The 12156-nt window shown below is 47.8% G+C and overlaps 1 protein-coding gene across 1 annotated transcript in view, besides 1 other annotated feature; it reads right to left on the bottom strand.

The window, feature by feature from the left end:
• Positions 215-12156, bottom strand: part of SLC16A2 (solute carrier family 16 member 2) — a 112424-nt gene continuing 100482 nt past the window's right edge. Inside the window, exons 3-6 of the mRNA NM_006517.5 lie at positions 9322-9772; positions 8238-8381; positions 4690-4918; positions 215-2798 (exon numbers count right to left, since the gene is read on the bottom strand). Of these exons, the coding sequence (NP_006508.2) occupies positions 2578-2798; positions 4690-4918; positions 8238-8381; positions 9322-9772 (1045 nt within the window). The 3' untranslated portion in view covers positions 215-2577. The remainder of the gene's footprint in view (positions 2799-4689; positions 4919-8237; positions 8382-9321; positions 9773-12156) is intronic.
• Positions 9360-9860: an enhancer, noted in NCBI's record as "H3K4me1 hESC enhancer chrX:73744106-73744606 (GRCh37/hg19 assembly coordinates)". NCBI's record gives its function as "activates a minimal SCP1, AML or CMV promoter by ChIP-STARR-seq in primed H9 embryonic stem cells {active_cell/tissue: H9 hESC(primed)}" and the evidence as "EXISTENCE:reporter gene assay evidence [ECO:0000049][PMID:30033119]".

Here is a 12156-nt window from a genome sequence, read left to right as displayed (position 1 = left end):
TTTCCACTTCAGAGCTTGTTTAAAAATCCAATCTCAAATAGTCAACCAACTCCAAACCCCTATATAGCTCTTTTTCTAATGTCTGCTCTCACAGAGAGCATAGAACCTGGCAGAAATTTGATTTGAAAGGAGACTTCAGCTCTGAAGTCAAACTTTCTGCTATTAATCAGGTTAAGACTATTTCTTCCTTGTAGGCAACATACATACCCAAACCAAATTTTTAGATCTGTTTATTTTGTTCCAAACTCCTTGAGGATTTAAATGTCCCATGTCTTGAGCTCTGAAATTTTGTTCGTTCTAGATTTAACTGTGGTGCATAAGAGGCTGCATCCTACTCTAAATATTAATACTGTGCTGCTTTTGCCAATCAACATTCTCTCCAAAAGCACACAAGCTCACATGTGCACAACCACATGTGTGGAAGAAGTAAATTGATATCCCACCATATTATGTGACATCTGAATGGGCAGATTTGGGACCTATGAATGTCTTCCCTTCATCTGGAGAGAAGTGGGCGACTGCCTGATTCTTAAGAGCCATCTGCATCTTAAGCAACAAAAGAGGTCCTACAGAACCACCCTCTGGTGACTTGGTGAGAGTGAGGTGGGGAGAAATGGAAGCAGGGGCATTGTTGCTCCAGTATTTTCAGTGGTCTCTCCTGGGAGTTACAGGGCTCCTAGGGCCCAGATTCTCCTGTTCCACTACTGTTAGAACTGACAGGATAGTAACTAGGCCCTTTCTAGGGCCCCTTCCTACCCACAGAGCTAAGAACCAGTGGGTTTTCCTTTGGGGAGTTGATAAGAGCTGGACTGGGACCAGCGGAGGGGGCTCAGGACTTTGGCCTTGAATGAAATCATTGGAGGCCAACCATGCCCCAGCTGCCTGTTTGTAACGGAAAATCATGAGTGGGAACTATTGTCTTCTTTGGAGCCCCTCAGGACAACCTCATCCTCCTGGCCCGGGGATGACCCTGCCTTAAGGTGGCAAGTTACTGTTGGCTCCAAGTGACAGCCAGGAATGCCTGGCAAAAAGATGATGAAAGGGTGGGTGACAGGAACACAATAGACAAAGGCTCAGAGAGGAGAAAAAGAGACACAAAGAGGCAGAGTGAGGAGAGAGGCTGAGCTCCTAATGAGGTGAGCTGTGCTAACTGAACACAGCCTGGCAGTGCCCTCTGCCCCTAGCCAGGGGCACTGGGAATGTTCTTCAGTAAGACTGTTGCCAGAGCCTGGGCATAAGGAGGCATCAGTCACCTACTTCAGAGGGATCAAAGTGGTTCAGAGTCTACCTTTCATGGCACCTTTAATGCCCTCTAAGCAAAGTGGCCTAGGATGCCCAGCATGGGAGACACATTGGGTGGTAAAGGCTGGGATGGCTTCCCCTTCCCAAAAGAAATTTTCCAACCCTATGTGCAACTGCTGCCTGTACCTTTTTGGGATCCAGGCTAGGAATTGATTTTTTTTTTCTTAAATAGTCTCTTTCCTGGCCTGGCCCAGGTAGAAATATAGACCTGTCATGAAAACTGAGAGATGGGGCTCACCATATCAATAACTACTGCCCCTCCTCCCGCCATGGCAGCTCGTGTCATCAGTCCTCCTCTACCTGCTGAGATGAAAGGAGTTTCTTCACATTTTGCCATGTGTATACAAGAATGGGGTGCTGGGAGGGCCTTGAGGTTAATGCCTTGGACTGTAAGATTTGTAAAAATCAGTGACTGGAACATGGAACACTGTGGTGTTTAAGGTTTCTTCCCTATATGATATTCTACTCTTCCAGTCTAGGATTATATAGCTTGAGCGAAAAAGTGAGATGTGGCTCAGCCTGAGATGAGTGGGACTGATGCTAGTGTTAGGAGTGGACTGGGACAAGGTGAGGCTGATTGGCCCAAGTTCCGGGTCCCTCCTTTCTTCAAGCACCCATGTGTCTATGACAGTCATACAAAGAAATAGAGGGGAAAGAGTATGGAGAGAAGTCAGTAGAGGAAAAAAAGAAGGAAGGGAAGAGGGGAGCAGACTGTTAACCAACCATACAATAAGGGCACTGCTTGTACCCAGTTCTTGGGAAGCCACAGTCATCAGCAACTCTAAGACTAACCAAGGCTACTTGTCTCATTTTGCCTCCCTGCCCCTCCACCCAGTGGCTCCCAAATATGGATGGCAATGACCTCCTCAGCAAACAGAGATTTGGGCCTACCCTATTAGGCTCCTGGGGACACAGTAGCACCTTTGGCAGTTGATTATAGTGGGTGACTAACAAGCTGGGTCCAGGAGGTCCCATCCTCCTCCTCCCCCAGAGCTTAGAAAGTATATGGAGAGGTTCCAAAGGCCAGGGGTGGTTCCCAAGCTTTCCCAGATCCTGGGAGGAGAAAGGCCCTGGAAAATTTAAAAGCATTCTGGGGAGAATTTAGTTAATGAGTTTGGAACACCTGGAGCTTTGACTCCAAGGAGATTGTCAGGTGGCTGAAATGCTGTGTGCGCAGGTCTGGGAACAAGTGTGCTGGTGGCAAAAATGTAAATGCTGAGCAGGGTGGGATGAAGGGGAAGAGCTGGGAAAGGGCACACAATGGCAAGAAAGGCATTAGATTGGTTCCTCAGGGTTGGGGGAGCCCGGCAGTAGCTCCCCATTGGGGTCTGGGTCAGGGGCCAACATCTTATCCTTGCTGGAATCTCTCTGCTCTTTCTTGAACATCCTTTGATGCATCAGAGGGACGAAGAAGAGGATTACAGCCCCGATGATGGGGGGCACACCGGCAAAGTAGAAGGCCACATGGTAGTCCCCAAAACAGTTGCGGAGTAGGCCTGAAACAGTCAAGAGAGACAAGTCAAGCTCAGCTTTGCCCTACTGTCCAAAGGTACTCTCAGCCCGTTCTAGGGGCCATCACAGTGCCTATCCAGATAATCTTGGCGTGTATTGCCTTAACTCAGGAGCTCCCTCAACTTCAAGGCATTGGGGCTGCAGGCCCTTGAGCGAATGCTCATTATGAAAGAAGCTAATGAAGCTTCTCTTAAAGTTTCTCCATTTATGACTTTCATCAATCTAAGATCTAGTCACACCTAGTTACGGAGTTAGGAGGAAACCTAGTTTAAAAGAAATCCACAGAAGATGGCCAAGTGTTGTCTTGGTCCACAGTGATATTTCCCAGCCTCCTACCCCCGCCCCCTGCCCCCACAAATGGTTCCTGTGGTACATTTCAGATGAGTTTTTATTTTCCTTTTCTCTGAAGTGACCCTTCTCTGAAGTTCCATTTGTCCTAGCAAGAGGCTATACGTGTTCCTTTCAGTTACATATATGGTTGTCCCCTCTGGGTTTCTCCAAGCTGCCAAACCAAGGATATGTTTGACATGGGATGCAAGGCCTTCCCTACTCACTTCCAGAAGCTAATATGTGGTACCTCGTAGTACCTCAGAGCCCAGAAACAGTATTCAGAAAAGGCAAAAAGGCCCTTGGCCTTTTGCTTACTCAGGAGTTAAGCAAATTGGAAAGAAATGTGGATTCTGGGGCACTGTTTGGATCAGGGGGTGAGTAGAGGCCCCCTTCCCCCAATGGGTAGTGTGGCTGTTGCCCAGAAGCCTGAGTGAAAGCTTTTGCCACTGTCACACAGTGCCCTCATATCACCTTGCACATAATTTGTGTTCGAAGAATATTTGTTGAATTAACTCATTTGACCAGCCTAGGAGAAGCTAATGCGTGAATCAATGTTTACAATAAATCCTACAGAAAAGAAATGGAGTTGCCGGGTGTGGTGGCTCACGCCTGTAATCCCAGCACTTTGGGAGGCTGAGGCAGGTGGATCACGAAGTCAGGAGATCGAGACCATCCTGACTAACACAGTGAAACCCCGTCTCTACTAAAAATACAAAAAATTAGCTGGGTGTGGTGGCACGCACCTGTACTCCCAGCTACTCGGGAGACTGAGGCAGGAGAATCGTTTGAACCCAGCAGGCAGAGGTTGCAATGAGCTGAGATAGCCAAGATTGCACCACTGCACTCCAGCCTGGTGACAGAGCAAGACTCTGTCTCAAAAAAAAAAAAAAAAAAAAGAGAAAAGAAAAGAAATTGGAGTTCTCTTGTCATTGGTTTTCTGTTCCTCGTTCCCTGGGATACCAACAGTGCCCTTCTGGGAAAATGGAGGGAGAAAACCAGGAGTGCTGAAAGATGGCAAGTCAACACTTTTCCTGCTGAAGGTGAGCCTCACTGGCTTAATTCTGGGGTATTACTTTAATCAAATATCTTCTACAGGCTCAGTTCAGAAGCCAGCAGAGGAGGAGGAGGATGTCCCTAGGTTTTAATAAAACCAGAGCCTGCTTTCTCTTCTCTTCCTACCCAACTACCTTGCAAATAATCACTTGCCTGTGGAGAGAGTGAGAGGATACTAGATCAGTGGAACTGTCAGAAAGCCAAACTCATTTTTCTCTCCACCCCGCTGGAAGGATCCCTGCTGTCTGAAATAAAATCCTATTGAAACAGATATACCACCATGGAAAATCCATCCCGCAGAATGGATCCATGCGTGTGTACTGTGTTTAATCTCTTCCACCAGTAGTGATAAGGGGTTTCACGCACTCTGACAAAGCTGCTTAAATAGACGATAAGAGGAAAAGGGGCCTCAAGGAGAGATGCTCAGGAGTGCCAGTACCCAGGGAAAAAAGGACTCCCTGATTCATGCCCTCCCTGGAATATCAGCCTCACCTGCAATGGGGGGCCCAGCAATCATTGGCAGGGCCATCATGCCCAGGAGGTAGCCAATGGCCTGTGAGGCCTGCATTGGGCCCACCAGCTCAAATGCAATGGGGGCCATGATGGTGATGAAGAAGCCATCGCAAAGGCCCAGGAAAAGACAGACGACGATAAGGCCCCCGAAGTCCCGGCACAGGGGAATCATCATGGACATCAGGCCCAGGAGCAGGAAGGAAAGGACCTGGAGAAACAAGGGCCTGAGGTCAGGTTGTGCTGGCCAGCCAAGACCACATAGCATCACATCTCCTTTCTCAAGTCTTCATTTCTACCATCTATAAAATGGGGTGGTGGGAGGGGGAAGGTGTCAACAGAGAGAGCAGTTGGGCTGAATGGTTAGGCCCTTTCAAAGTCTTGCACTGAGGGATTCAAAGTCCAAGAAAGCCCCTACTTAACTGTGATTCTGTTGGGATTAAAAAAAGAAAGTTGGGGGATACTTGGCCCCTGGCCTCAAGAAGTTTGTCTTGCACTAGACCCTAAGATAAAAGGAATTGTTGTTTCTGCTTTCTGAGCCTGTATTTGGCTTCCCCAGGGATCAGGGTCTGGGATCAGGCCATACCGGTGTTCTCAGATCCAAGTAAAATATGGAAAGAGGGAAGGGAGGACATGAGGATGGCTTGCATGATGATCAGATGGGGTTGTAAGTGGAAGGCACAGCTTCTTGAAATGGGGAAGGAGCCAGAGCCCATTTTTGTGGGGGCTGATTTTATAAAATACCTTGGCATAAAGGAAACCATTGGGACATTCACCCAGGTTCCTATGCTTTAGGACATGGACTGCACTGCCTATCTCAGACATCTCAGACACATGGCTCTGGGGGCCTCTGGGCTTGGCTGGACACCCTGAGAAGGCAACAGAGGAGCCTTCCAGGGGAACCAAGCCACTGGGAAGGTGTATGTCTAGGGAGAATGAAGCCAACCCAGGAACACTGACTAGCCACTGGGCTTTCTCTGGGCTAAGCAAAATGACTCCAAAATGAAGAAACTGCCTTTCCAGAGGTTGTTTTTTTTTTCCTTCTCCACAGAGAAAAGGGCTGCTGCAAACACAGCTGGTCTTCATTTGCAACCTGTGTTGGCCAGCTAGACTGAAGACCTGGGCTTCAGGCAGAGAAAGGAACCCTGCCCCCATCCCGCTGCTGCCAACCCCCTGCAGCCAGTAGAGCCAGGTCAGAGCCAGGTCATCCCAGGGTCAGGGCTAAGATCTGATCTCTCTATCAAGGCCTTAATAGGCCCAAGGATTTTCCAGTAGTTCACACAAGCAAGCCAACTTAGCCAAGAACACATGGAAGGAGTGGGGGTCAAGGTTATTTGGTGCCCTAAAGATTTTCTATGTTGTTGCTGGCAGTGAGTTTTTTAGGTTGATCAGTTGATTTTTGGAGAGGATAATGCCATCTGAGGACATCTTTTTGTTGGGAGACTTTGAACTTTGCCCAGGCAGTTTTGAGGTAGCTAGGCAGAAGCTAGGAATAAGAACCCCGGTACCTGAGCTTCTCCTCTAAGAGATTCACACACAACTATGGGATAAAACCAGACACACCTATCAACAAAGCCCATTATGGAAATTAAAAGTTAATACCATTATATAACACAAAGGACCCTATTAACTGATTTTAATCAGGTCTAAGTATTACCTATTGTATCTAGCTGTCTGTTAAACATCCTCCATGAGGCTTTGCCAAGGTTCAGAAATTTAAAATCTCTCTTGGACGTGAGAAACAGGCCTCAAGATTCAGAAATTTAAAATCCCTCTTGGACGTGAGAAACAGGCCTCAAGAATTGGCACAAAGTGAGGCTGTCCTGCAGCCTGTCGCTATTTCCTTTCCAGCAGACTGTCCAGGGGCTTGAAGCCAGAGATATGTGCTTGTCTTTACCAACATTAAGAGCCACAGAGTCTAGTGGATAGCTCTTCAGAACCTGAAGGTGTGTACACTCGTTTCCTCCCCTAGGCCTGTACTCCTGCATTACATGCAGGGAGAAAGGGGGGCAAATTCCTGTGATGGAGTATCTTAACAAACTCAAGAGAAAGAAGTTCATCCATTGTCTTGTGCTCTTGGCCCAAGACACTCAATTTGTAAAATGAGGAAGTTCAACTACTAGTTGATGAAGATATGTTTCAGCTATAATGTTCTAAGATTATTTTATATTATTCTAAGTAAAACTCGGTGAAGTAAGAGTAAGGAAAAGGGGCAGGAGCAGTGGGTGGGTGGTCAGCAGAGGCACTGGGTCCTAAGCCTATCTTGGCCTCTAACTGGCTAATGCCTCCCTGTCCCTTGGACTCCCACTGTATAACAGAAAGCAAAAGCTGCTCAGACTCTACCTTTCTCCTAGGGACTGTAGTAAGAATCACATGAGTTATACGACTAGGCAGGGGCTGCTGCCTCTTCTCAAGATAAAGCCCTGGCCCAATGCCAGATTACCCTGATTTCCAGAACTCTTTGGCATCTTGGAGCTGCTAATACTGGCAGGGAAGACTCACAGGGGTGTCATGTGGGTGAGGCTGGGAAAGCCACACATATTCCTATGCAAATAGCCACCCAGATAAAGCACTTGCTGATATTTGCACAGGAATTCAAAATCTCAATTGGTTTATCTCAATCACAAGATTATCTCTTGGTTTGACCTTGGTCAAGTCACTTATCATCTCTGAGACTTGGCTCTGCCATCACTTAGGGCAAGGTAGAATATGAGAAGTGTGTTGCATAGGAGTTCAGCTCTGCTACTACTGTCTGTGTGAGCCTTTCCCTCTGTTTCTCCACCACTGTAATGAGGTTGGATTGGATGGACCTTAAAAGCAACCCTGCCTCTGACAAAGCAGATTTACCAACTCTTGTAATCTAACACCAAAAAAGTTAAGGAAAAGTTAATCATATTTCCATCCAAGATATTTGAGGGTACTTAGGAGGGCACTTGGGGCTATCAGAGACAGAGAAATCACCACTGTAAGTGTAGCTAGGGCCCCTTGCATGTGCTTTTAGGGCTTTCCCAGGAGATAAATGAGTCAGAACTCAATCACCTTCCTGATGGATTACTTGTGACTACTTGATTTTGGGGGCTATCTTTGCCCCTTCACAGGGCTCTGCACTTGGGTACCACTTCATAAACCCACCTGCAGGATCATAAGTCAGGTAAGAAAGGCAATACTGCTGCCAGGTAGATAAAGACTGACAGCCTGAACAGTGGCCTGTATTCAGACCAGACCAGAGCCTAGTTCACACAGAAAATAGTCTTGGAGCATGGAGAGCCATTATTAATAAAATCTTCCTTTACACGTGTTCTAATAGGTTCCATATACACTGCTCTCACAGAATCCTCACTCAATCTTGGTAAAAGAGGCAGAACAAGGATGATTTTCTTTGTTTAAAAGCAGGTGAAATGGAGGCTCAGAGAATTTGATTGACTTTCCCATGCGACACAACAAGCTACCATTCTATCCCAAAGGCTGTGGATAACCTTGCATTTGTGGCAGGCTGTTTCTCCCCACAGTGGACAAGTGGTCACACTCACCTGCAAGTAGATCTTCTTAAGTCCAGGGATGGAGTCACTGATGTGGCCTGACACAAGACGCCCAAGGCCTGAGGTAGCCCCAATACACACCAAGAGCACCCAGGTCTCCTTGATTTCTGAGAACTCCTCCTCCACATACTTCATCTGAAAAGCATAGCACAAGGATCCCCAGAAACAGGAGGAGAAAGAGGAGCTGACTGGTTAACTGTAGGCATATCCAGAATCCCCTACTGCTTACTTTCCTGGAGCAGGACAGAAACCCCCTCTCCTGTAGCCCTACCTCCATGACAAGCTCTCTGGCTGCTTATCCCTTGGCTGTCTGGATTCTGGACTTCTGAGCAACAGCTAAGGAGGGTGGGTACCTCCACGCCCCTTCTAAGCCCCAGCAAGACAGAAAATAGCCTAAATGATTGAGAAAATCCAAGGGTTTCTCTACAATCTCCCCATTCCCTTACCCCAAACTGACAGCCTAGGGCAACATCAAATCACCAGGGGAGAAGAATCCAGCAACTTCCAGGCAACTCTTCCAAAGTGTGTTTTAGGAAACATGAAGCCTGTGGAGGATAACAGCTGGACTACAACCAACAGTTCTGTAGTTGCATAAGTTTGGTGGATGGTGAGTTAAACAAAGCTGAATGGGTTTCTTTCCTACAATTTTTTTTAGTCCCTTTAAGAGATTACTACACATTATAAAGCTAGAGAGATCCAGTATATGTTACTTCCTAAACAAAATCATTTGACCACAAAGACCAGCATTCCACAGAATCCTGTCTTGGGTCACCCGGGCCAGTCTCCTGCATCCTGGCAATGCGTATCTCTTCAAAATCTATCTAAATTTTTACTGTGGGAGAAGCCATGGTCCATGGGCTTCCCCCTGTGGAATTGCCCCCATTTTCCACTAAGGTCTTCCCTCAACCTCTCTCTTTTTCCCTCTCTGGATCTCTCCAACCAATATTTTGTTTCTTTTCCCAAAGGTCCCAGCTCTGCCCTTTCAATGTCTCCCACCCCCACCCTCTGGAATCTAGGCAGGTTGAGGGTAGCTTCTTGGGGCCAGGTGGGGTGGGCCCACTCTGGTATTCCTCACCAGGTGTACATAGGGAACAAAGTAGCCAAGGGCAGCAGCAGCAATTCCGAAGGCCCAGATGCGGTAAGTGCGTTGGCGGAACACTCGCATGTTGAAGTACTTCCTGAGCTGAGCCAGAAAGCGCTGGTGCAGGGTGCGGACACCTCTCTTGCTTGGGGTGTCCTGGGAGCTGGGCAGGAGGGGCCGGTAGGTGAGTGAAAGCAGCATAAGAACAAACATGAAGGTACTCAGCACCTGGAAGGTTTGGGCCAGCTTGATCTTATCCCCCAGCATTCTGATGAGGAAGGGGAAGGACATGGAGAAAATGCTACTCCCAGCAGACACCACACCATTGGCCAGACCCAGGCGGCGTTGAAAGTAGTGGCCCAGGATGACGAGGGATGGCTGAAAGGCGAAGGAACAGCCACAACCAAAGAGAATCCCGTAGGTGAAGTAGCGCAGGCTTAGGGAGCTGTGGGAGAAATACCAAGAGCTGTCCTCAGCAGCCTGACCAGCAATCTACCTGCCCTCCCCTGTCAGCTTCCTGAGACTTCCATTCCTCCGCCCTTAACCCACAGCCCCACTTGCCACTGACCCTCAGAACAGACAAAGAAGAGGGCCTTCTGATCCCTGTGTTGCAGATGGGGAAGCAGAGGCTCAGCGAGGTAAAATAATTAGCCCAAGGTAACATAACTGGGAATCAGCAAAACTTGGACTTGAATCCAGGTCTGTGTGACTCTAGCATGACTCATAGCACCCCATCAAAGAGGACTGTTCAAAGGAAAGCCAGAACTAGCCCATGTAAAAGCTGGATGAGGGGCTACAGGGAGTCATTGTCTTAGAGAGACTAGCCTCACCTTACTATTGGTGGTGGCAAAGCTTTTATCCCAGGTAGCAACAAAGGTCTGCAAGAAGTCAAAATCCTGGAAGATTGAAACCTTCCATGGGACTCTTCAGTGTCTTTCTCCATGCTAAGGCCATTAATATTTCAGAGAATGGCTGATGTTCTTCTGAGACATACGCCCTCCCAAACCCTGCCCAAGGTCCACATATCCCAAGTCCCTTTACACTAGGCCCTGGACGATCTCAGCGGGAATCATTAGGTAAGGAGTCTCTTTAACTTTTAGAGTCCTGCCTTTGTTTCTGGATATGGTATAGATTTGTTCCCTAGAGTAGCCTGGCTCCTTGACAGGAAGTGGAGCCTCAAAGAATTTGTGGGCCTGGCCAAGTAAGACAGGTCCTGGCTTAAAACTCATAGGCCCTGCTGTGGACATAAGCCTCTGTAACATAAAGGGTCAGAAGGGGAAAGGCAATAGGAAGGTCAGCTTGGCCAGCCATATGCCCCCAGATAATATTGGCACAACCTAGTAAAGAATTTTGTTTTCTTTTTGATGCCTCAATATATTTTGCAATAGTTCTTATCTGGCCACTAAATTACCTAATACTCTTCTTGGTCAGGCAGTTCTTCTCTGGAGATAGACCCAGTCCTCATACTAAAGAACTGGGCCTAAGCTGCAGAGAAGATATGGTGCATGATTCTAAGATAGCTGTCATCACTATTGCTTTCCATCTGCTGGTATTCACTGGACGTGAGCAAGGATTTGGTTTTGAAAGGGTTGTCTCTGCTTGGAACACATAGCTAAGCCAACGGTTCCTCTTCTGTCAGGTTCCTTTGGGCCTGTGCCCATTAGATTCTAGGTACCCTATGGGATCGGCCTGGCTTGGGGGCCTTATCCAAGGGGCCTTGTGTTAGACCTTCAGGGAAGGGGCCAGTGGGGGAAAAACATAGGATTTGGTTTAGATCCATGTGGTGGATCTACTTCTAGCTGGGCCCCAGGGATGGATGCCCATTGTTTGGGTTTTCCAAAGCCCCACCAGCCCTGCCTGCATCCTGCCCCATTCCATGTCATTCGGAGGAACTCAGGGCCCTGATTGAGACAACAGGAAGGATGATTTGGAGCTCTAGCCATGAGAAGAACCATTTTTCCACTGGATGTGAAGCCATCCAGAAAGTTTCTTGGCTCTGAAGATCCTCTTACAGAAAGAACAAAGCGGGTAGAGAAGAAGGTTAGGGGCTAGAGAACAGAACGCCTACTCCAATGTGCCTACAGTAGCGTGCCAGAAGAAAACACCACATCTGAGCTCCTTCCCCTCCTGTAATTGAGCCCATGTGGATTGGAAGGGAAATGGAATCCATATGTTGCTAATCCGTTTACACTTTGCTCTGCTCGGTCTTAAAAAACAGACCTTTGCTGTATAGTGCTGAGACTGGAGCTGCTTTTGAAGCCTAGCTCCTCCCCACAAGGAGCCAGGCACCAGCTTGCTGGGGGTGAATGAGGCTGACCACCAGAGGGGTTCTGAAAAGGTTTGGAGCTGCTGCCCTGGGAGTGCTGAGTAGTTTCCAGGCAGGACACGGTTTTTCCCTTCTCTGTCCCAGTTGGACAGGACGAAGCCAAGAAATGACTGCAGGCCAAATCCAAGCTCTGCTGTAGGGTAGGCTGGGCAGCTGGAAATGCTCAAGTCATAAAGAAAGCTGGCTTACCTCACAGGGCCCAGTTAAGGCAAAACACAATTATCATTCTCTACTGTGAGTGGAACCTTAGGCCTAGAGAGCCATGACGCTTTTCTGGGTAACTAAGCTCAGAAAGCAAGTCTCTGACAAATTAGCTCTGACCTCATCCCAGACATGTCACCACGGCCATTTCTCATTTCTGTGTTTCCAGGCTGGCATTCCCCTACATCGGCCCAAGCAGATTGGAAGTAGGAGGTACCATAACTTCCAAAGTGTCTTTGGCAGAAAGTCAACAGAGTTCTTTAGGAATTCCATATTCCTCAGGCTGTGGTTAGGGTATTTAT

This window comes from Homo sapiens, chromosome X (assembly GCF_000001405.40).
Source record: "Homo sapiens chromosome X, GRCh38.p14 Primary Assembly".
NCBI lineage: Eukaryota > Metazoa > Chordata > Mammalia > Primates > Hominidae > Homo > Homo sapiens.
This window is presented reverse-complemented; position numbering and strand designations above follow the sequence as displayed.